Below are 25,574 nucleotides of genomic sequence, written 5' to 3' on the forward strand. Positions count from 1 at the left end.
CACATAGCATGTGTTCATTAATTATGTGTTGGTTAAATGAAGGAAGCTTTATGAGGGAAAGAGCATGCCACTCCTCTTCCAGCGTCCCCCTTGGTGGCCAGGGCAGAGCAGGCATTCAGCTGCTCTTGTGGGAGAAGAAGGGACTTGCAAGATCATCTCCCTTAGCTCCCTCATTTTCAGGAGGCCAGGGACAGTGGTCCCCAGGAAGGGAAGGAGAGTCCAACCTAGTTTGCCTGATCCCCCATGGGAGGCTGAGGTTGCAAACAGACAGCTGCAGCTCCTTGCAGCTATGCCACACACACAGCCTTTCTGAATCAGAGGGTATTAGTCTTTCCTTCTGAACTCTTGGGATATTCCTGTTTTGATTTGGCTCTAGCAGTGACCACACCGAGTTGTGCAAAGCCTGGGAACAGTGAGGGCATTAGGACCAGGAGTGACGCGCACGCTTGGCTCTGGGTTGTGTCTGGCAGAGGGCTCTCGGCTGAGTGGAGCTATGTGTGAAAGGAAACCAGGCACTGCCTGCCGGCTTTACATCTGTTGATCTGACCTGACTGGAAGCGTCCAAAGAGGGACGGCTGTCAGCCCTGCTTGACTGAGAACCCACCAGCTCATCCCAGACACCTCATAGCAACCTATTTATACAAAGGGGGAAAGAAACACCTGAGCAGAATGGAATCATTATTTTTTTCCCAAGGAGAAAACCGGGGTAAAGGGAGGGAAGCAATTCAATTTGAAGTCCCTGTGAATGGGCTTTCAGAAGGCAATTAAAGAAATCCACTCAGAGAGGACTTGGGGTGAAACTTGGGTCCTGTGGTTTTCTGATTGTAAGTGGAAGCAGGTCTTGCACACGCTGTTGGCAAATGTCAGGACCAGGTTAAGTGACTGGCAGAAAAACTTCCAGGTGGAACAAGCAACCCAGGTTCTGCTGCAAGCTTGAAGGAGCCTGGAGCGGGAGAAAGCTAACTTGAACATGACCTGTTGCATTTGGCAAGTTCTAGCAACATGCTCCTAAGGAAGCGATACAGGCACAGACCATGCAGACTCCAGTTCCTCCTGCTGCTCCTGATGCTGGGATGCGTCCTGATGATGGTGGCGATGTTGCACCCTCCCCACCACACCCTGCACCAGACTGTCACAGCCCAAGCCAGCAAGCACAGCCCTGAAGCCAGGTACCGCCTGGACTTTGGGGAATCCCAGGATTGGGTACTGGAAGCTGAGGATGAGGGTGAAGAGTACAGCCCTCTGGAGGGCCTGCCACCCTTTATCTCACTGCGGGAGGATCAGCTGCTGGTGGCCGTGGCCTTACCCCAGGCCAGAAGGAACCAGAGCCAGGGCAGGAGAGGTGGGAGCTACCGCCTCATCAAGCAGCCAAGGAGGCAGGATAAGGAAGCCCCAAAGAGGGACTGGGGGGCTGATGAGGACGGGGAGGTGTCTGAAGAAGAGGAGTTGACCCCGTTCAGCCTGGACCCACGTGGCCTCCAGGAGGCACTCAGTGCCCGCATCCCCCTCCAGAGGGCTCTGCCCGAGGTGCGGCACCCACTGTAAGTAAGGCCCTTGTTTTCCCTTCCCTGATCCCAGGGCATGATCGGGTGGTAGCAAACTCGGGAATGCAAACTTTCCGTAGCCTGCCTCTCCTGACTTAGAGCAAGTGCTTTTCAAGATGCAGTACCTGGGCCAGCAGCGTCAGCAGCCCCTGGGCACTGGTGGGTTCTCAGAAATGCAGATTCTCAGACCCCATCCCAGACCTGCCAAACAAGAAACTCTGGGTGGGGTCCAGTGGTCTGTATGAACAAGCCCTTCAGGTGAGAATCATTGTCCTAGAAAGCAGAAAGTGAGGACTCTTGCTTGTTCATTCTCTTCTCCGTCCTGGGTTCTAGTTCTTCTGTCTTTAGGTCAAATGGCTTTATTTCTATAACACAGAAGGGAGGTTAGAGCAGACATTTGCCAGTTCTAACACTCTGACTCCACTACATTTTGATTTTAGGGTTATTGTTAGTGTTTGCTTTTAGTTTGGATCAAAATAACAATTGCAGTTTACATTTAGGGGGCTCTTCCCATGCGTCTGGATTTACTTTACAAGCTTTTAATGTATTAACTCATAAAGTCCTGGAAAGTCCTCACAGCTCTGCAAGATGGGTGCTAGTAGTATCATCATGCTTATTCTATAGGTATGAAAACAAGGTGAAGTTGCTTTCCCAGTCACGCTGCTAGTAGGTAACAAAGTCAGGATTTGAATGCAGGCATGTGAGCTCCAGTCTGCCTGACCCACCACTCCATGCCACCTGCCTTGGGCCACTAGACTAAGGAAACAGGTCCAGTGCCTGAGAGCCAGAATACTGTGCTGACTGCAATTTACCCTGCCAGGGCAGCCCCAGCCCCAGGAGGTAAGCTGAGAAGTGTAGGTGATGGGCAGAGCTGTGCCCAGGGAGATGCTGGCCCATCCTCCACACCCCCTGCTCCCTTACTGTCACCATGGCTGACCACTGAGGAGGGAGCCTTGGTTACCAGCATCCAGGGAGCAAGGCAGCTTGTTAGTTTTAGTTTGGTGATTTAGGTCCCTTTTCCTATAGGCCATTGCTCCTCCCAGAGCCTGGAGAGTTTCCTGGAAAGCAAACATTTGTGCAGGGCAGCAGTTGGAAGCAGGGCCACACACTCTTCGGATCCCTGATCTAGTTCCCCTCAGCCTGGCTGCTCAGCCACTCACACTCGAGGGTGTGCAATTGCAGGGTCAGCAGCCGGGAGTGAACATCTCCTTAAATTGTGTGCCCCGGGTGCCTCACTCACCGCACCCTACTTCCATTTCAAACCCGCTACACTGTTTTCAAGCCTTACCTTTAAAAGCTATTTTCAGGAAATTCCCACCCCATTCTAGTTTTGTGCCCTCCTTGCACCCTGGAGTTTTAACTCACAGCACTTACAAAACTAAAGCCAAATGATTATTGATGTATTTATCAGTCGAATGCCTGCTTTCCCTGCTATGCTGTGAGCCCCTTAGAAGGTCAGGACTGAGTTTGTATTGTACATCCCAAAGCCCAACATGCAGTAAAGAAGTGATTGCTGAATGAACAAACATAGTTTTCAAATTTTTTGACACTATTTTTCACTGGCCTGGAGCAAGAGTGAGCATCCTCTTTTTGCCGATAAGAAATAATATTGCCTGAAACGAGAGGGTCTGTGGCTACCAAAGTGGTCTGTGTGTGTGACTGTGTGTTTGCATAGTGCAAATGTGTGGTGAATATGCATATTTGTGGGTCATGGTATATGTATGTTCGTGCATGTGTGTTGTATATATTCTCTGTGTTGTGTGTGCATTGCATTATGTGTATTAAATGGATGTCGTGCATGTATGTGTAGTACATGCAGGTACTGCGTTATGTGGTGCCTATATGCTTGGTGCATGTTACTTTGTGTATGTGATATGATATGCACAGCTATGCATTGTGCAATGTGTCATCTTGTGTGCATGTGTGTTAATGTGCATGTATTATGTGCATGGTTCATATATGTATTGTGTATTGGGGTGATGCCACATGCATTGTTCATCTGGGTGTGTGTTGCAGTTTGCTATTTGTTTTGCATATGTTCACGTGGTGCATGTGTGCACAGGTATTGTGTTGTAACTGTGTTTCTTGTGTATGATGTGCTTCTGTGGTGCATTGTGCTATAAATGCATTGTGTGAATGGGATATGCATATATGTACAAGTGTGTTGTGTTTATTATGCATGTGGTATAAAGTGCATGGATATGTTGTATGTGGCACAAGTGCAGGTAAATTTTGTGGTGTGTGTGCTGTGCACGTATTTGTGTGTGCTGTGTGTGTAGTGTGCATGGGTGTAATACGTGTGTATTGCGTATCTTGTGCATGTGGTGTGATGTGCACATGTACTGTGCATGTACTGTGCCTGTGTGTGCTGTAGTGTTTGTTTTACATGTTTTGTGGTACATGTGTGCGTATGTATTCTTTGTGTGTTGCATGTATGTTATACATGTGAGGTGTGAGTGATACATGTGTATATGTGCAGGCATGTTGTGTATGTTATGCATGTAGTGTGATGTTCATGAGTGTGTGATGTGCACTGTGAGTTGCGTGGTGCAAGTGTGGGTACATTTTGTGCTGTGTGTGTTTGATGTGCACGTGTGCGTTTATGTGTGTGTGCAACACTTCAGTGGTTGCTTCTTCCAGCCAGAGTAACCAACTCGTCTTGACTTGCCTGAGACTTCCCAGATTTTAGCACTGAAGGTCCCAGGCAGTCGGGAGGAAACTCCTCAACCCCTGCGAAGGGAGACGATTGGATTCTCCAATCCCCAGCTTGCCAGGGTTCTCACGGAACGGCCGCCAGCTTTGTGCGGAGGTGCTCAGCGCCCTCTGCTGGCCCCGGCTGGTGCGTGCGGCCTGCGCAGCCCAGGCCTTGGCTGCAGACTCCCCTCTCCAGTCTGCGGTTCAAGCTCTGGCGCCTTCCCTTAACTGGATTCCTCGCCTGCATGCACAAGAGAGTCCCTGCAAAGCAAGGCAAACGATCTCCACCCTCCCCCCAGGGTGACAGGACTCTTCGGCTCCTACCCCTTTAAATCTGGGCCACAATACAACACAGAAGAGAAACAGGCATATATTAAGTGCCTGCAGTATGCGGGCCCTGCACCGCTGCTTTCCCACCAGGACCAGCAGAGCGCTAGGACATCAGGAGCCTGTGCCTCGGGCTGTAGCGCACCCCGTGCTATCGCCAGCCACACATCCCCTTGCAATTCCATCCTTGACTCCTAAGCCAGACAAGCCCCTCTGGCCCAGTTCCTACACCCAAATGCCCAAACTAGCTCTGCCTGTTGTCCTTTCCCCCCTGCCCAGGCCACAGGCCTTTTTCTGAGTACCTTTAGAGTCATTTCTGGAGGTCAGTTTGAATAGGTGGCATTTGAGGAAAATTACCAATGATGCAAGAGCAAAAAAGAAAAATATCAGTGGAAAAGAGGTCAAAAGACAGTCTCTGAAAAGAGAGGCAAAATTACAGTGAACATTTATTGAGCACTTACTATGTGCTAGAGGCTCTGCTAAGTGGTTTTTGTTTTCAACTCTTCATAGAAAACCTCTAAGGTAGGTTTCATTTCATGGATGAGGAAACTGAGGCACAGAAAGATGGAGGGACTGGTGCCAGGTTATCTGACCAGGTGAGTCTGACACCAAAGTCATACTCTTAACCACCACACTACACTTTGCCAGTCTGCCACTCTCCAGACCAGAGATTGGGCAAGTCACATGGGCTGGAAGTGTTTTCATCTTAAAATGGGGAGAACTCACACGGGTCCATGGGGAGACAGTTGCGGAAATGCTTATCACAGCATCCTTGATGGTGCTGAGGAGCTGGAAGCCACCAGGATGTCTTGTCACAGGGCAGGAGGAGCTGGGTGCACCCTATGAGATACTCAGCCTGAGTTAGAAGCAACAGACTCTGGGTACATTCAACAATGAAGGGAGACCCTAAAAATCCCCTGCTGAGTGAAAAAGTAAGGCACAGAAAGCGGCCTACAGCACTGTATCATTAGGGGAAATGTAAATCCATGCAAACTAACCAATCCATTCTTTACAGGAACAGAACAAACTCAATGAAATGGTTGTGCTGTGGGAAAGGGAGGGTCCTCGGGGCAGAGGTGGGGATAAAACTGAATGAATACTGAGGCAAAATAGAGAAGAGCCCATGATGGAACCGCAAACAGGAACGGGATTAACTCAGCCCTTCAAAGCTGCTGTCAAAGAAGGGGCGGGAGGAACAAGCCCGGCCCATTTAGCCTCCTGTAGCACGGATGGTTTTCAAAGTTCTTCCAGGCCCCAGCTCTCCTTTGATCATCCTGGTATCCAGTGCAGGGGCAATGGGTTCCTAGGATCAAAGAGGCTGCTGTGTGAGCCAGTGCTTTGTAATCTACATCTACGGCTGAACTTGAGCGTGCATCCGAACAACTAGATGGCTTGTTAAAAATACAGATTCCTGGCCTCCATTCCTCCAGTTTCTGATTCAGTGGGTGTGAAGTGGGGCTCAACATTTGCATTTCTGCAAACTCCTGGTACTGCTGCTGCTGCTGCTCCCAATCCAGAGACACTTTGAGAACCTCTGCTCTAAGGCACACTCTTTATGCCGAACAGACTGGCCAGAGCAGTGCTCCTCAAACTTTAAGGTGCATGCGAATCTTCTAGGCATCCTGTTAAAATGCAGTCAAATTCAGCAGGTCAGGAGGGCAGCCTCAGATGCTCCATTTCTATCAAAGGCACTCCAAGGTGGCACCAGCACTGTTGGCCCACAGAGCACATTTTTCAACAGTGAGGAGTTACACCACGACTTCCCAAAAGTATGTGCACACCCAACCCCCCTATATTGCTTGTTAAAAAGACGTAGATGTTCAGACCCCCTCACTGGCAATGCTCCAGAGTTCTGAGTTGGAGCCCAGTAATCAGAATTTTTTTAAGCTGATGCTAGATAGTCTGGGGAACTACTGGTAGAGAAAGCGAGTGGAGAGCTGGTAGAGTTTGGGAAGTTTCCACGTAGGAAGCAATACTAGAGTCAGAAAATAGAAAAGAGAGCAGAGAGGAACAGGCTCCCTCATGGCCCCGGCAGTTTGTCCCTAAACATAAATGTCAACTCAGCGGTAGCTGGCTGTGTGCTACCTGCTTTTAACTTGCCTTTATGGTTCAGCCTGTGTTTCCCTGGTTTATGTACCCATAGCTGTGATTAAACAGTTGTGGACCTGTGGTTGAATCCTGGTACCACCTGTTACTGTGTGACCTTGTACAAGTCACTCAACCTCTCTGAGCCTCAGTTCCTCAACTGTAAAATGGGATAATAATAACACCCTTGCATAAGGTTGTAGAGAAAATGAGACACAACGTGTGATGATTTTCCTTGTGTATTAAGTCCAAACAGAAGTTGCCCTTATCATATTCTTGAGTAAATGGCCTAGGAGTAAGTTGGAGTGATGGAGAAAAATGGAGCTGTGGATATCATATTGCTGTCCTTTTTCTGACTGAAAAGTTATTTTCTGGCCCTGGAGGCTGCTAAATCATCATAAATGTGCAGGTACATTGGAATTATCTGGAAAGTCTTAAAAACTATTCATACTCATGCTCCACTTCCAAGGATTTCTATTTAGTTGGTCTGGGGTGAGGCCTGGGCACCAAGAGCTTAAAACTCCCCAGGTGGTTCTATCGTGAAGCCAGGCTGCAAGGCCCCAGGTGGTCAATGGCTCTTCACAGCTGGTGGGGAGAGCTGGGAGGGATATCTTCTGCTTTGTTCCCCACTTCCTGCCCCAGAGGCCATAATGGGCAAGGGGTCAGAGGGAAGGGCAGGGGCGGGAGAGTCGCCTTGGCTGCAGCTTTGTTGTCAAGTAGAAGATGGTGTTGCAATCCACGCGGGGTCCACTCAGTTCCCTGTGAAGACTCTGTCCTGCCAGGCCGTGATTCACCCCAAGATGACTCCCCACACCCCTTGTTGGCTGTGATAGCCTGGCCTGCAAAAGAGGAAGGAGGCAGCTGACAGGGCATCAGTAAATCCAAGAGAGCAGACATGCCCTTCGGGATGAGGGACAAGAACAGGAACAAGCTGGGCTTGAGACCTGGGGCTGGAACTTAGCTCAATTCCCCCCACAAGAGAGGGAAGACAACCCAGTATGGGCAGTGTGAGTGGTGCTTATGGGGCCTGGCTGTCCAAGTCGTGAAGGGATGCCACAAACACCAACCTTCCAGCCCTCGAGTCCACAGTGGCCGCAGCAGAGGCAGTACCTCCTCTGGACCTCCACTCTGGATCCATCACCCCGCAGTGGGGTTGCAGCGTAGACAGAGCTGACTATATAGCGCCCTTTTTTGGGTCAAATGCATTCATGGTAACAAGTGTGGTAGGGTCTTACCCTGCACTTCAGGACAAACCCAGCTGGCCTTGGGGGTTAGATTAGATGTGGTTAATCTGCACCTTGTCCTGGGGTGGGAGGAATTGATGTTATTTACTCCAGTGCCACTCACAGTGTGGTCCTCAGACCTGCAGCCTCAGAAATGCAGACCCTTCAGACCCCACTTAAACCTACTAGATGAAATCTCTACTTTAACAGGATCCCTAGGTGATTTCCATTCATGTTAAAGTTTGAGAGCCATTATGAGGCCAGTGGTTCACAGCCCCCACTCACATTAGAACCAATGAGTCGTCATGTCAAGGCTCCAAAGCAGACCAAGTAAATGTGATTCACAGGAACTCACTCTCTAAGTGATTCTAATGTGTAACCAGGCTGAGGACCACTGCTTAGGCCACTTTAGGTGACTAAGAACAGAGATGCTCAAGTCACTTAAGGTGATGGAGTTACTGCAAGTTTACACAGGAAGTAAGTAAGGAACAGGGAACTGTCCAGACAAGGTTGAAGGAGGTGGACAGGAGGGAGACCCACGATCCACAGTTCCTTTGGGGACTTGGCCTTCCTGACATCCTGCAGCAGTAGGGGCCCTAGAACCTGGCCAAGTATTCTGTACATCTGTCAGCTCACCTCCTATTGTCTTGTCACTAACAACCACTGCCCTCTACTCTAACTGTGGTCCAGGAACCAACAGCATCAGCATTACCTGGGAGCTCACCAGAAATGCAGAATCTCAGGCCCCACCCCAGACCTACTTGACCTAAGTCTACATTTAATGAGGTCCCGGATGGTTCAAGGGCATATGGACACCGGAGAGGCACTGAGCTACGTCTTGGCTTCTACCACCCCGTCTTTGGGTTACTGTCTGCTCTATGACCTGCTATCAACTGCTCACTTTTTGCATGTCTAAAGCTCACACTTCTTGAGATGGAGGATCTGGCAGGTTTCTCTGGCCGCTAGCCTGGGGAGGCTGTCCCTGTTAGGTGGAACTATGGCTCCAAGATGCTTCATAGGCCTCCGGTCAGTGTTCAGACCAGTGACTCCCAGTGTGTGCCTGTCTCTGGTTCAGAGGTAGATGCCAGGATCAGAGCAAGCCAAGGATCCCCTGAACCCCTCCAGAAGTGAGCTGTGAGAGTTTGGAGAACCTGCACAAAGAGAAGGGGATGGCATGTACCTTGTGACGTCTGTCCACTGATGGAGAATGACAGGCTGGCAGAATCAGCCTCCACTGCAGACTCCAGCCCTTTCCTCCCATCTCTCTTGTCTGCAAGCTTCTTCATCCATTCTTCTAAGGCCTCAGCTCCAGGCTGTGTCCCAGCCCTAGCAGCCTCAGGCCTGGCCTAGAAGTTGGTATGGTGTTCCCAAGATAAGTGCCACCAATTACAGGCAAGCTAGGATTTTCTTGCAATGGAGGAACTTGGCTCTGTGGGATTACTCCCCTGTTAATCTTGACAACCAACTTACACACTTCCTGAGAACAAGTTCAGTGTCTTTCTTCCTTCAGTGAACAAATAGCTATTGAACAACTATCAGAAGTAAGAAGGTAAGCAATACCCAGCCCCAACCCCAAGAAGCTTGGGGTGCACTGGGGGATGCAGACAAGCAAACAGGCTGGTACATCAGTGGGATCAGGGCTGAGATAGAGAAGCCTATCCGAGTGGGGCGCCTCCACTGATTTGATAGGAACTGGGAGTCAGTATCCCCAAAACAGCTTTAGGAAACCTGGCAGAAACCTTTCTACTCTGGCCAGGCAAGGGGAGGGAGGGAAGAGCGTCAGTACTACAGCCAGGCCATCTGGTGCAATGCTGTGACTCATTCTCTTCAGAGCCATCATCCAAATGCATTTTTCCAAGTTCACAGGGGATCCTGGAGCTGCAGGAAAAGAGGGTGTGCATCTGTATGTAAACACAAGACACCAGACTCCTCTGATCTTGGAGTGTGAAGATATAAAGCTAGCCTGCAGAACAGCTCTCTTAGGCTAAGATTATCCCTTTCAATCCAGGACACACCCCTGGGCTGGAGAAAGGTATCAACATCCCTGTGTTGGCTAATTAGGGATTAAGCCCAGGTTGATTTGAGTCCAAAGCCCTTGGTTGTTCCTGTCCCGCTGCTCCCACTCAAAGGATGAACAAAGGAGGTCAGGGGTGGGGTTTTGGACACTTGAGTGACACATACAAACCGAGATAGTAAAATATTCACCGGATATTTCGTTGAAGCAGAGAAGTTAGCCTCATTATTTAACAATAAAAACATACATTTCTTCCTGGATCCTCTGCATAAGTCCCTAGTCACTTGGGGCCTTGCTTTATGATGTTCAAGAGCCTTTGCCATGCTCTGCCTCATTGGTTGGCTCAGCAATGCTATGAATGTCTTTCCTTCAGTTCCTGGTACATGCCAGCCCTTTCCCACCTCTGGGCCTTAGCAGAGGCTGTGACACCTGCCAGGCATGTCATTCATTCCCCACCTGCACTCTCTCTCTGGGCTGTGTCCTACCCACCCTTCAGGTCTTGGCTTTGATTTCACGTCCCTACATCCAGAACGTCTCACTACAGCTGCTGAATAATGATTTGGTTATGTTTAATAGGACATAAACTCCATGCTATTAGGGGCTATCTTAGTTTAGGTTTCCCCTAAAGAAGATCCTGAAAGAAGGCTTCATTTTGCCGGTTATCCCAAGAAGCACGGGTAGGGGCTCAGGAAAGCGGAGCAGAGATGCCTGAGAGAGGCATGTGTTCAAGGCAGCTACCTCTGTGGGCAGCTGGAGCTCAGCCCTTGGAGACAGTGTAGAACATGCATGCATCTCAGCGCTTCCTACCCTCTGCCCTTAGGGGTGAGGGTGCTGGGTGTTTAATAAACCAACTCTTTTCAATCACTGGCTGAGCACAGCTCACTGGGGTGGGGTAGGGGTTAATTTTCCAGCTCTTCAGGGATGCTCTGACTGGGGAAATCACACTGGTCAGCCAGAGAAAGCCCTAGGGCCATTAGAAGTTGGGCCGTCCTGTATCATAATGAGATGGCCCAAGAGGATATGGGCAGGGGCACCACAGATTGTGGTCAGGCATCATGTCTATTTCATTCATCTTTCAGTCCTAACACATAATAGGCTGTCAATAAATATCTGTTAAATGACTTGATAGAGAGATGGAAGGTGAAGATTAAAGAGAAAATCAGAATGAAGATAGGCAGTCCTGTCTAGAGCCTCCTCAATGAATAAATATCCTGTTTCCTTACTCTGAGCTTCCTGGCAGCCACACTGAAAAATAAAAAAAGACGATATTCTTATTTGTATTCTTCATGAGGAGGAAGCACACTGTTGCTCAGATGAAGGAAAGTATTTTGTGGCACTTATATCTGCAAGGACTTTTCTTCCAAAGCATCAAAGTGGAGATAACAAGTGACAGGGGGACAACATCCTCAATAAGTTCCCTCGGTAATGGAGAGCAGGTTTCCTAAAAGTGATTCTTGCATTGTTCCCTGATGAAAGCTGAGAGCACGATGACAAGCACGACTCCCTGTAAGCACATTTGTAAGGCAGCCAAGACTGAGGGGTCAAGTAAGTTGCCTTTTGAAGACCTTAAGGAATCAGCGTAGACAGTGCAGAATGTGTGGAGGAACTGATGGATCGCATGTTTTTCAAATAACCTTCCATCATTGTCCCTTTATGACTCTGAATCCAGAACATTCTGCTCGCACTGTAGTCCAAGATGGTGATAGACAGACAGATAGATAGATAGATAGATAGATAGATAGATAGATAGATAGATGATAGATTATAGCAATATACTATCAGCTATTTGCCGTGTAACTTTAAACAGGTCATTTAAGCTCTCTGGGCTCTAGTTTCCTCATCTTAAAAATGGGAAAGTGTGTCCATGATCTAGTGCTGTATAACGCACCTTATCAAAACTTAGTAGATTTTAAAAAATAGATATTTTTAAAACTTTGGTGCTTCAAAAGATGTCATCAAGAAAGTGAAAAGACAATCCAAGAGTAGAAGAAAATGTTTGTAAGTCCTATATTGCATAAGAGATTTGTATCCAAAATACAAAAAGAACCCTTACAACCCAACAATTAAACAACAAAACACTCCATTTTAAAATGGGCAAAGGATTTGAATAGACATTTCTTCAAAGAAGACATAAAAATGGTCAATAGCACACGAAAAGATGTTCAAATCATTAGTCAGTAGGAAAATACAAATCAAAACCACAATGAGATGACATTTTACCCCCACTAGGATGGCTGAAGTAAAAGACAGTGCAAGTGCTGACAAGGATGTGGAGAAATTGGAACCCTCACACATTGCTGGTGGGATTGTAAAATGGTGCAACTGCTTTGGAAAACAGTTTGGCAGTTCCCCAACATGTTAAACATGGAGCTATCATATGGCCAGTAATACCAGTCCTAGGTATATACTCAAGAAAATTAAAAACATGTTCACATGAAAACTTATACATGAATATTCATAGTGGCATTAGTCATAATATAAGTCAAAATAGGAGCAATCCAAATGTCCATCAGCTGATGAATGGACAAACAAAATGTGGTATATTCAAACAATGAAATATTAGGCAGTAAAAAGAAATGAAGTACTGATATAGACTACAACATGATTAAGCTTGAAAACATTATGATAAGTGAAAGAAATCAGTCACAAAAGGCCACGTTATGTCATTTCATTCATATGAAGTGTCCAAAGTAGGCAAGTCTGTAAAGACAGAAAGTAGGTTAGTGGTTGCCACGGGCTGTGGTAGTTGTGGGAGCAGTGGGAAGTGACTGCCAATGGGTAGTAGGTTTTTGGGGGTGGGGTGTTGAAAACGTTCTCAAATTAGACAGTGGTGATGGCTGCACACCTTTATACTTGAATCCATGGAATTGTACACTTTATAAAGGTGGACATTATGGTATGTGAATTATATCTCAATAAAAATATTATTAAAACATTAGTGATTTCAGGCCGGGCGTGGTGGCTCACTCCTGTAATCCCAGCACTTTGGGAGGCCGAGGCGGGTGGATCATGAGGTCAGGAGTTCAAGACCAGCCTGACCAACATGGTGAAACCCCGTCTCTACAAAAAATACAAAAATTAGCGAGGCATGGTGGTGCATGCCTGTAATCCCAGCTACTCAGGAGGCTGAGGTGGGAGAATCGCCTGAACCTGGGAGGTGGAGGTTGCAGTGAGCTAAGATAATGCCACTGCACTCCAGCCTGGGTGACAGAACAAGACTCCATCTCAAAAAAAAAATTAGTGATTTCAAACAATAACCATTTCTATGTTATGGTTCTATAATTTGGACCGGACTCAGCCAGGCAGTTCTTCTGCTGATCTCCCCTGGGTTCACCCCTGTGGCTGCCATCAGAGGGCGGCTGACTGCACTGAATATTAAGATGGCCTCACTCTCAGACCTGGCAGCTGATGCTGGTCCTCAGCTGGGGCACTTTAGTTTTTCTTCAAGCAGACTGTAATCCTCTATTAGGCTACGTTGGTTTCATTACATGGCATCTCATGACAGCAAGTGGAAGGCCTTGAGGCTTAATCTTGGGAATTCTCGAATGTCACTTCTAGTACATTCTATTGGTCTAAGGAAGGCACAAGGCCAGCCAGACTTAGGGGCTGAAGAAATAGATTCCATTTCTTGATGCAAGGAGTGGCTGACTCACATTATAAAGAAACACGATGAACAGATATGTTGTGACCATCTTTGCACACATGAAAATTCCTATTTCAAAGGGCATTTGGGAGGAATAAATGTAATAATTCTTGTAATAATTCATGCTGCTAAAGCACAGCACCTGGTACATAGGACTCCTCATGAAGTGGTGGCTATGATAAATATTAATAAGACACCTGCATCACAGGTGCTACCCTATTCCTCCATTCTCCCTCAGTGAAAACAAATCATAGACTCAAAGGTGGAAGGATCTTTAGATATTACACAGTGAATCCCTCAGTGTCAGATGTGGGAACAAGGGCCAGAGGAGAGAAGGGAGAGACTTGTCCAAGGCCCCTTATCTCCATTCCCTCAAGGGGGATTCAGAGGTCTGAGCCTGATGGAAGGTCGTCGTCCAGGGCATGTGGCACATCTAGCACATCTAGCCTCACGCTCTTCCCCCCAGACCATTATCCTGGCTCCGGCTGTATATACTTGTAAGGGGGCGTCTCAGAGGAAAAGAATCACAGAAGGCAAAGTGTTGCCTGTGGGTGAAGGAAGAGGAATCTTCCCCAGTGGTGGAAGTGAGAAGTTACAGGAACTCAGTTGGCACAAAATGGCAGCCATAGGTCGTGTCCCATCACAGACATGTTTGTTTGGCCATGCAGTTTTATTTAAAAATGTTGGATTAGTGGTCAACATTTAAAAATTAAGATATTTCCCAGAAACAGTTCAGGTTTCTGGCTTTTTCTGAAAATCAGGAAGATGTGGCAAAACTGGACTAAATTTCCTCCCAGTGACATCAGCTGTTCCTTTTAGGTGGGCCATGTGGTCTCGGGCTCACTGAAGCACCCACAGGGCAAGAGTCACATCTCCCTGGCTGGTGTTTGAGCTTATGCTCCCTTCAAACCTGAACAAAGGGGTTGGAGCACTAGGAGGGGATGGTGTAGATGCAGTTCAGGACCTTTCAAAGATCTTTGTTGGCTGGACCTTAGCCAGCTTCCTAGGTTTCCAGTGGCTTCTCTGAATTGCTGCTCAAACCCTCCTCCTAGTTCTGGTCTACCCACCCCTCATTCCTTAGTGCCTGAAGCTCTGTAAGGTTGGGTGGGAGCGGGGGAGGAAGAGTGGATAGATTGCAAAGCAGATGACAGGTCCTTAGCACCATTTCCCTCTCTGTCCTCACTTCCACCTCCCTCCTTGTGTCCTCTCTCTCCAAGGTCCTCATGATGACATGAGGAGCCCAGGGTTCCCAAACATGGGCGAGTAGGGCCATACCATCTGGACCATTTCTTATTGTCTCCTCAGCATCTCCCAAAACTTACACACTCACATCAGCTAAGGAGTTGGATGCTTTCTATTACAAGCTTTATCCTTCTGAAGGGAAGTCATCCTGCATTTTAACAACAACAACAAAAAAAGGAAGCCACCAAAGCCACTGGATGAGCAAGAAGATTGGAGAGCTTTGCTCCCGGTGGCAGCCTGAATCACAGGAAACATTTTGCTGTTAGGCCAGGGTTCTAGGGAGATTAGGTCCAACAGGGGATCTAGCTGAACTCCAATCACCCACCTGGCCTCCTTTGCCTGTAATCCATGAGGTGAACAGCACCACCATGTTGCATAACTCCAAGAGACACCAGTGCATGGTGATCTCTGAGCATGGCACCCACTGGTGTTGGGCAATGCACCAGCCCTAGTGGTTGAGATGAGGAGTAAATGAGATAATGCATGAGAATATCCTACAAATATCAGTGATTGTTATTCCCAGAATACCAGCCCAGTTCCTCTGCTATGTTGAAGGACATCCTCAGAGACATGTTCAGACAATACCAGAAGCCAGTCAGCACATTTTTACCTGAAAAATAGTAACAGCTTCCAGTTATTGAAAGCCTGCTGTGGACAAAGCACACAACATTTTACATAGCCCTTTAAAGTAACCCTACTTGTTATCCTCATTTTATAGATGAAGAAATTGAAGCTAGAAAGATATCCAGGCACATGAGAGGTTTGCAAGAATCAACAATAGCTAGCTAGCATTTTGGGGCTCTTACTATGCATAAGTACTTCAAATGTATTAGCTCATTTGGTCCTTCCAACAACCTCATTTTACTGATGAGCAACATGAGTTTAAGTAAATTGTATGTTCAAGATGGATTAATGGAGTCAAAAAGATTGTGAGAAATGAGAATTAGTGACTGAAGTATAACTGAGTCTGTTGGTCTGGAGACTGTTGAAAGCAAGGATAGTTCTCAGAGAGCTTATGGTACTTGCCCAGGTCACATAAGGACAGACTGGGATTTGAACCCAATGCCAAAACTTCGCCTTTTATCCACTTGATAAAACATCAGCTGAACTAACACATTTTTGAGCAAGTTTATCAAGGTGAATGGAATTGCAGTTTGGCCGCTTTCAGGGACTCTATTTGCTTGCCACACCCTCCTACTTGGTTCTGTGCTGCCACCTGGAACAATGAGAGAGGATTCATCCCATTTGCCCATACCTGCATGACTGTGCTGCCCATAGGCTGATGAAGCCCATCCTGGGATGATGACCATGGACTGCCATAAGCCTGTACATGTAGTTGGTATCCCTCCCTTCCACTGTTGTCTGGGAGCTAAACAGTCTGCACCATCCTCAGGCTCCCCCTCCAGCCCACTAGAAACAAAACAATCCCTGGCTAGGCCGGGCATGGTGGCTGACGCCTGTAATCCCAGCACTTTGGGAGGCCGAGATGGGAGGATCACGAGGTCAGGAGATCGAGACCATCCTGGCTAACACGGTGAAACCCCGTCTCTACTAAAAATACAAAAAATTAGCCGGGCGTGGTGGCGGGCGCCTGTAGTCCCAGCTACTCAGGAGGCTGAGGCAGGAGAATGGCGTGAGCCCGGGAGGCGGAGCTTGCAGTGAGCCAAGATCGCGCCACTGCACTCCAGCCTGGGGGACAGAGCGAGACTCCGTATCAAAAAAAAAAAAAAAAAAAAGAAACAAAAGAATCCCTGGCTTTTCTTAAAAGCATCTAACAGGCCCTGAGACACAAGACTTTGTCAAATTTGGGTTATAATATTTAGTTCCACACTCCAAGCCATGTTGTGGGTGCTGGGCCTTCTCACAAACCTCAGGCTGGGTCCGCTCAGCTGCTGCTGGTCCTCCACTGAAACACCAGATTATTTCCACGGTGATTTTCAGCTCTGGTCTCCAGGCAGTTCTGCAGTTGCAGAACAAACCACAGCTGTCGGTTTACGTCTTGAAGGCTGCGTGAACTTCTTTCCCTGAGAGAGGAGAAGGATTCTTTCTGAGCTGATGCCAGGAGACCTGCCTCCACAGCTTGGCGGGGCATCCCCCATAGCCTTGTAATGGCTTTCAAGAACCCATTTGGCCTTTCACATCTCTTAGCAGCCTGTTTAGTTTATCCCACTCACACTCCCTGCCCATCCATTGGTTCACCATCTTCTCTCTCACTATGAGGAGAGAAGTTACATCTGTTCATAAAACCCCAAAATTCCTGGAGCAAGGGGAGTCTATGAAATTCTCTTTGAAATGCTTGCTGTCCTTATTTTTCTGCCTCCTTCTTCCTCCTGCTGCGGGAAGGAGCCCCCAAAGAATCAAGAACACACACTTTCAAGGCTGGAAGAGCCTGAGAGGTACCTCTTGTAGTAATGGGACATCTGTTAATAATGGCAGCAAACGCATGGTGCTCACTCTGTGCCACCCACTGTTCTTGGTGCTTTATAAAGATCATTTCATCTCCACAACAGCAAATCCCAAAAAGTGGGCCCTACGGCTACCTTTCTGAGGAAACCAAGGCACCCAGAAGCTAAGCAACTTTCCCAGGGTCATCTCCGCAGCTAGGAAGTGGTGGAGCCTCAGTGTCCACAACCTGAGTTACCAGGTGAGACTGCCACCCGGCAGAGAATGTTCTGTGAAATCAAAGAAAGGAACTTGAGTGCCCTGGTCACCATTTAACTAGCAGAGATGGAAGCTCTCACATCTCCTTACTTTGAGTAATATGCAAGGAGTGTGATCTTAAAGAGCTAGAGTTTAAATACAAATTTCTTTCATTGAAGGAGGCCCTGCTCCATGCCAGGCACTGTGCCAAGCCCTTTATCAAACTTATTTCTCCCAAAAGCTCTGAAGTGGACACTGTTGGGAAACCCAAACTTGAAAGTAGTTCAGTGGATGTCTCATGCTATACTGTAGAATAGTTGTTTAAAGATAGCTATAATTTGCAAAGATGATCATAAATATAACATTCATACTAATTACATTGTGTCTTTTTGGAAAATGGCTATAAAACAGTCACTGTCTATTGGGTGCCTATTATTATTCTTTGATTCTCTCAATGGGCCTAAAGGGTAATTATGGTTACCCTTACCTTCCAAATGAGGAAACTGATACCTATAAATATTGAGTGAATTACCCAAGGAAACTTAGGAAGCAACGGAGTGAACATTCAAATCTAAATATGTCTGATTCTGAAGTCTAAGTTCTTTTGACCATCTTACTACAAGGATACATACACCACACGCACACACACGTGCACATGTGTGTGCATAACACACACTTGTGTTGTTTCCAATTCTCATAGTCTATGAATTGAGACAGAGAAAGGAGCCAGGCATGGCTGGCAGGCATAGCCGTGCTCTCTTCTTGGAGCAGACAGGACTGACTTTGGTAAACTATTAAACTGTCCCCACAGGAATTCCAAACCCAGGGCTCTCTGTCCCAAACTCCTTTCCTATCTCAGTTGGCAAATAGCCAGCCTCCCGGCAACAAGCCCAATTAATAGTTTAGGGTTTTTTTTTTCATACCCACTAAATTCACTGAGGCAAAATTTCTTTTCACAGCCACCAGTCCCTGTCTAGGACCCCTGGGTTTACCCAAATGCATGGCCACAAAAGAAGTGGAGAGGATATGAGGAAATTTTGCACCTGTTTGTGAGCAGTCTAGAGCAAGTCTGAGGGCAGAGCAGAAATTCTCAGCCCCACCAGGGGAGAAGGGGAGAGAATGAAGGGGGTGAAAGACCTCAGCAAAGACTATGCATGTGCTGGGGACGCAGTCATCTCCCTAAAACCTTACAGGGAAGCTGGTTCCATTTTGGACATGTTATTTGAGCAGCCCTGAACTCAGACTATAAAAGTTCATATAAAGTTCATTATTTTATTTGTTTTAAGAATGGTTCTCAGAATGCTGCCATGCATTTAGGGACTTCTTGCTAAAGTCCATAGGAATTTATCTTTCAAATAAGTGTTAGATGGGTGTTAAATTTTCTCTTTAAAACTAATATGATATTTGAGTTAACAGTATTGAACCATGTCGGATTCCTGGTTTTGCTCATTGTGGATGATTACGTGAGATATTTTCATGATGGGGAGCTAGGTAAAGGGAACATAGGAACTCTCAGTTTCTTGTCAGTCTTAAACGATTTCAAAATAAAAAGTGGTAAAGTGGGAATTGAAAGAAAAAATTACTAGAAAGAGTGTTGCTTTCCCCAAAAACCTTGCATGTAACTTCTCTAATGGTGATAATTCTGTTGCAGAATAAACATTTTACTTTGGCTACCAGGGATCTCAGAGTCAAATTTAAATTCATTCTAGAAATACCTAGGCCCTTATAACCTATATATTTATGTTCTTTCTCCAAATGCTGACTTTCTAAATTTACTTATATTCCTCAGCTCCTGACTTTTCTTCCTTATTTTTATTTTACCATCATTTTAAGTATTTGTATTGTGTGTATTTTTTTGTGAGTGGCTTCAAATCATTTATGGAAATAAATAGCTTGTAAATTTATAAACCAACAAAATAATTAGCTCCTTTATGAGATGTTTATGTGTTTTTAAAAATTATTTAGGAATTCTGCTTACCATTACCTAGACTCAATTCTCCCTCTCTACACAGGATTTTGCCCTGAGAGTCACACACAGGTTTCCTGTGCATTGAGAGTTTTCTGCCTTTCTTAGGACTGGTACCAAGCTAGGGAGCAGCAAGAGTTGGCACATCTTAGAAGGTGTTTCCCTCAGACAGGGCCAGCCTCAGCCTGGTTGTCACTCTGCCCGCAGTTCCACCTCACAGATTCCTTTAGGTGTCCGAAGTTTGGGGTCCTTGAGATGGCTCCTATTCAAATGTCCCTCTGAGGAGGAACATAGTTTGAGCAGCAGCTGCAACTCAGAAAGAGGCTCTTCAGAAACACACGTTAAGAAAGTGCCTTTTGTAAGCAAGTGTGAGCTATATACTGCTCCATGTATCAGGTTGTTATAATTCACTCCACCCTGGACCCACTGATTCTCAACAGACCCAAAGCAAGGCAAACACCAAGCACCCTGTTCACAGACAGCCCCTCAGCAGAGGGAAATGCAAACACCCCTGCTATCCAGCCATAAGCCAGCAAAGTGGAAAGGGTGTGAGAGTTTTGAAGGTAGAACATTCAGCGCTGCCACTTGCCAGCAATGTGAGCTTTGATGTCTTCCCTTCCCTCGAAGCCTCCGTTTCCTTATCTGTAAAATGGGAGTAAGATAGCCCAACCCACGGATTAATTATCAGATGAATGTGCAGTGATATATTAAAGGCCTTGCACGGTGTCTGGCATGTTGTTGGCACTCACAGACACTCCATCCTTGTTTTTTCTTCCATAAAAATAATAAGAGCTTAAATGTCTTCTCTTTTAGAAGTGTCTGTTCATGTCCTTTGCCCTCTTTTTAATGGGGCTGTTTGTCTTTTTTCTTGTAAATTTGCATAAGTTCCTTGTAGATTCTGGATATTAGACCTTTGTCAGATGGATAGATTGCAAAAATTTTCTCCAATTTTGTAGGTTGTCTGTTCACTCTGATATTTCTTTTGCTGTGCAGAAGTGCACATGTATGTTTGTTGCAGCACTATTCATAGTAGTGAAGTCACGGAATCAACCCAAATGCCCATCAATGATAGACTAGATAAAGAAAATGTGGTACATATGTACCATGGAGTACTACGCAGCCATAAAAAGGAATGAGATCCTGTCCTTTCCAGGGACATGGATGGAGCTGGAAAACATTATCCTCAGCAAATGAACACAGGAACAGAAAACCAAACACCGCATGTTCTCACTTATAAGTGGGAGCTGAACAGTGAGAACACATGGACACAGGGAGGGGAGCAACACACACTGGGGCCTGTTGTGGGGGCATGGGGAGGGAGAGCATCAGGATAAATAACTAATGCATGTGGGGCTGAATACCTAGGTGATGGGTTGATGGTGGCAGCAAACCACTATGGCACATGTTTACCTATGTAGCAAACCTGCACGTCCTGCACATGTATCCTGGAACTTAAAATAAAATTTTAAAAAATAGTAAGTGCTAACATTTAAAAATTGTGTGCCAGGTGCTATGCTAGGTTGTAGGAACATAAAAATAAAGAAAATAGTGTCCCTGACCTTGAATGGATGACAGAGATTACTGGACACTTAACTACACGCATCATCCTATCCAAGCCTCACCACAGCCTCGGGGAGTCCTGATCTTCCCAGAAGGCCAGGAGGGGTGTCCCTAGGTCATTTAGTTGTGCCAGAAATGTAGGCCTCAGGCCCAAGCCAAAGACTAGAGCAGAGGTTCTCAAAGTGTGGTCCACAGAAAACAGCAGCATCGGCATCACCTGGGAGCTTGTTAGAAATGCAAATTCTTCAGCCCCACTCCATCTCCAGAAACTCTGGGGGTGGGCCCTGCAGTCAGTATTTTAAAAATCCCACCAGGTGATTCTGATGCATGCTCAAGTGTGAGCGCTGTGAGGGTGATAATATTGTCATTCATTCTCATTTTACAGATGAGGACAGTCATTTGCTGAGGATGACGGCAACGCTTCTCAATTGCAATGAGAGGGACTTTGGATTAAATGATAAAGGAGCTCTTGAGATCTGAGAATTGGGAGATAGTAGACAGCACCACTATGAGGCGTAACAGGTTCTTTTTATATGGGAATTTTAAGAGATCCCATAGGACAGCCATATAATGGGGGCAGCTCCAGCCAGAGCAAAGGAAGCGAGTTAGAGGGTGTGGAGTGTTTCTTGTGGCCTTCTCTTCCCCATGGCTCTCTGGCTCTCTTCCCTGCAGGTGTCTGCAGCAGCACCCTCAGGACAGCCTGCCCACAGCCAGCGTCATCCTCTGTTTCCATGATGAGGCCTGGTCCACTCTCCTGCGGACTGTACACAGCATCCTCGACACAGTGCCCAGGGCCTTCCTGAAGGAGATCATCCTCGTGGACGACCTCAGCCAGCAAGGTAGCCACGGCTTTCCTCCAGGCTCGTCTGGGTGAGCCTTACCCCCTGGCGGGTGGAGTTCTCAAGCAAAAGATTGAAGTTTGGAACTATTTTAGGCAAGATTCCCCAACTACAGACCTCCAGATGAGGATTAATGGGCAAGTAACTTATGAATGAAGAGCCACTGGGGAAACCAGTAAGGCAGTGGGGGCTGCAAGACAGAGAAGGAGAAAGAGCCCTGCAGGGGAAACAGCCCTGGGGAGGGTCTTGAGGGGTGTCGCCTCAGCCTGATCCCGTGGGGATCTCTCTCCCAGGTGCCACCCAGTCCAACAATCCTCTCTCCAAGACACTGAAGAATCACATAGGGCGGCCCTGTTGTGAGTGCTCACTGCCTCCTAGACCCTGGTGCAGCACTTTACACATACGCACATATGTGTATCGGTCCTTCACTCATCATGGCTTAGACAGACCCACTCACTTTCCAGAGGAGGAAACTGGGGCCCAGAGAAGACAGCAGACTGGAGCGGAGTCAGCCAAAAGCAGCAGAGTCAGGCCCAGAGCCCAGACTTGCAGAACCTGCCTGTGTGCTTCCTCTCACAGGAACCTGGCTACTAGGGACAGCCCTAAAAGAAGATGGAGACAGAGAAGCCCCCACTTGACTCGTAGGTCAGTGGCTCTCACGCTTGAGCATGCATCGGAATCACCTGGTGCGATTTTTAAAATACTACTGCAGGGCCCACCCCCAGAGTTTCTGGTGATGGAGTGGGGCCGAAGAATTTGCATTTCTAACAAGCTCCCAGGTGATGCTGATGCTGCTGTTTTCTGTGGACCACACTCTGAGAACCTCTGCTCTAGTCTTTGGCTTGGGCGTGAGGCCTACATTTCTGGCACAACTAAATGACCTAGGGACACCCCTCCTGGCCTTCTGGGAAGATCAGAACGCTCTGAGGGAAGCCGAGCATTCACGTTTTTCTAAGGGGAATAATGGAGAAGGGCTAGGGTAGCCAGGTGCCTCTGTTAGTTCTTTCTACGGTCCTCACTCCAGGGATGGGCCTAGCCTGGCCATAGCAGTGAGTCAGATTAGCCAGAGGCTCTGGGAACACCTGGGGTTCCTGGGTGCAGCTGGCTGCATATTAGGCAGGACTAATGAACAGGTGCAGGACAGGGCTGGGTTGGCGGGTAAAGTGCCCAGAGACTCTCCAAACCCTCAAGTGGGGCGGGGTCCGCCCAAGAGCACACCTGTGGTGAGGCCCCCACCATCTGATGAGCTGTGTTACGTCTGTGCCCCTCGGGAGTACGGAAAGTGGAGGAGCTGGGCCCCAGAGAAATGGGCTACCCCAGAGCTGGCAGCCCCACCAGAGGGGATCTGGATCCCCTGCCAAGCAATTAAGCTGCCCCCTCCTGGCCAACTCCCCTTCTGCCCCTCACCACTGGGTTGGCTCTCCATCCAGTGGCCCCATATTTCCTGTTGACATTGGGGTGCAAGGCCTTTTCCACAACCAAGGGCAGCACTGGTTCTATTTCTGCAGGTCCCTCTCCTCTGTGTGCTTGCCAAGACCCAGATCCCAGACAAGCACCACCCTGCACACTGTTTTTATTTAATCCTCTTGGCCACCCAGAGAGGCAGGGCTTATCAACCCTACTCTACCTGTGAGGAAAACTGAGACAGAAAAAGATGCTGCGGGTTGCCCTGAGCCACCTTGATGGGCTTCCAAGCCGATGGTCATGACAGCATAGTGTAGTGTGATAGAATCAGCTAGATGGGTTTCAGGGTATTCGTCTGGGGTGGTGATGCCCACACCAAATCATTAAATCAGAAAATGCTTGCGATGACCAGCCCATGATGACCCTTTACAAGTGGAAGTCAGTATTACTGCTGTTTTCTGGAGGGAAGGAGTTGAGGATCATACCAGCTTTTTCCGAGCACTATACCACTCAGACATGGGTGCTCTTACCCACTTCAAAACCCTCTGAGAATGCCAAACAACCATCGCAGTCTGGAAGTTCTTCCTTATCTATTCCGAAGCTCTCTTGCTAGAAGTCTGTCCTAAATAATACTAACAAGGGTTAGAGGTATAGCTGAAGAGACCAGCAGTCAGCCCAAGGAGGGCTTCATAAATTAATGTTTGGTGGGAATATCAGTGAAGGACTATATTTGGCTGCACAGAACAGAAACCTGCTGCAGTGACTTAACCAATGAATAGAGATTTATTTTTCCTTATAGTATAGAAAGCTCACAGGGTGGCAATGCAGTATTGGTGTGACAGCTCCACAATGCCATTGGACACCCACCTTCATCTGCTTTCCACTTCAACATGCTTAGAGAGTAGTTTTGGCCTCATAATCACAACAGGGCTGCTCTACCTCTGGACATCACATACATATTTCAAATAGGGAAAAGGCGAAGAAGAGATAGGCAGAGGCCAGTCCGGTTTGTGCTCTTCGGAAAAAAAAAATTAGTAAAATAATAGTTTTCCCAGAATCCTTTCATTCATTTTATTTCTACCAGAGCTGCTGCCAGCAGTGACAGGAAGTCTCGAGAGATACGTGTTTTTAGCTGTCCCGAGAAACATCAAAGTTCTGTCAGTACAGTGGAAGGGGAGAATGAATGGTGAGGAAGATGTTACATTTAGCAATGTTAAAGCCAATGAAGTCACTGAGGGGCTGCTTCTCAGATATGCAAGTCCAGAAATGTTAATAGCTTGACTAACAGAGATTCCTCTCTAGGGAGTGGACCAGGGCTGACAGTCTTACCAGAAAAATAATTATAAAGTAACACATCAACGAAGCATTTTACCAGTGAGAATTGCAACAGCCCAGTGACTGGGACTCCTTTCCTCTACTGCTCAGGACATTGTTCACCCTGCAGAAAATCCATGGTGCTTAGAAGACAGATTCCCAGGGAAGGAGTGTATGAAGTCTGCTGGGGGCTCTCGGGTGGGGCTGCCTTAACCTTCTCCAGCCTCCCCAGAGATCCAGCTACCAAAGCAGCCAGGCTACTTGTATCCACAGTTAAGGCCACCTCTGGGCTGGGGAACTGGGGGGGAAATTCTTGCTTTTTGGCTCAGTTCTGTTCAATGCACATGTACTGAGTGCCTACTGTGGGCCAGGCCCTGCACTAAGGGTTAGAGCAGAAGAGATGCATTAGGTACAACCCCTGTCCTTGGGGAGATCTTAGTCCACTGGCCTGGGGGGACTCCCCATTTCCAAGACTTCATGGAGACCACTGCTTCTCTGTGAACACATTGTTCCTTCCATCTCCACTGGCTTGTTCCTCTTGGTGTGTGTGTACACAGACATGCACACACACACACACATGCACTCACACACACAATCAAGTTATTCTTATCTTAAACACAAAACCTAACAAGCTTCTCTCATCCTTTCCGTCATCTTCTTAGGCCTCTTTTTCTCCCTTCCCCTATAGAATCAACCTTCCTAACCGTCTGGACTCTTGGTCTCAGTTTTTCATCTTCCGTTTTCTCTCCCGGACCCACTGTGTTGCAGACTCCCCTATCAACTGCAATGAGATCTCTTTGACCAGCACCACCAATCTCCTACCAGCTGCCAAATTTAATGGAGCCTTTTGCCTTTGACTTCCTTGACCACTGTCTTAGGTCAGGTTTCCTGAAAGCAGGGCCTGAGATGGAGATTCACGTGCATTTGATTTTTTTGAGGGTGTACTCTCAGGGGAAATCTGTAGGGGAGTGAGTGATACAGAAGAGAGAGAGGGAAGAGCTGAACAAATATGTGGTTTCAGGTGAAGTCCAGCCATAGCCTGATCCCATGGGGGACTCTGGAGCACAGGCTGCACTGCG

At 47.3% G+C, this 25,574-nt stretch overlaps 1 protein-coding gene across 3 annotated transcripts in view; it reads left to right on the forward strand.

Moving 5' to 3' along the window:
• The first annotated feature begins 530 nt into the window (after positions 1-530).
• GALNT15 (polypeptide N-acetylgalactosaminyltransferase 15) overlaps positions 531-25,574 on the forward strand; it is a 73,545-nt gene continuing 48,501 nt past the window's right edge. For all 3 annotated transcript variants that reach the window (XM_005264852.6, NM_001319051.2, NM_054110.5), the window contains exons 1-2: positions 531-1,541; positions 21,611-21,777. In XM_005264852.6, coding sequence (XP_005264909.1) covers positions 1,003-1,541; positions 21,611-21,777 — 706 coding nt within the window. In that variant the 5' untranslated portion in view covers positions 531-1,002. The remainder of the gene's footprint in view (positions 1,542-21,610; positions 21,778-25,574) is intronic.

The sequence above is a fragment of the Homo sapiens genome, chromosome 3, assembly GCF_000001405.40.
Source record: "Homo sapiens chromosome 3, GRCh38.p14 Primary Assembly".
Lineage (NCBI taxonomy): Eukaryota > Metazoa > Chordata > Mammalia > Primates > Hominidae > Homo > Homo sapiens.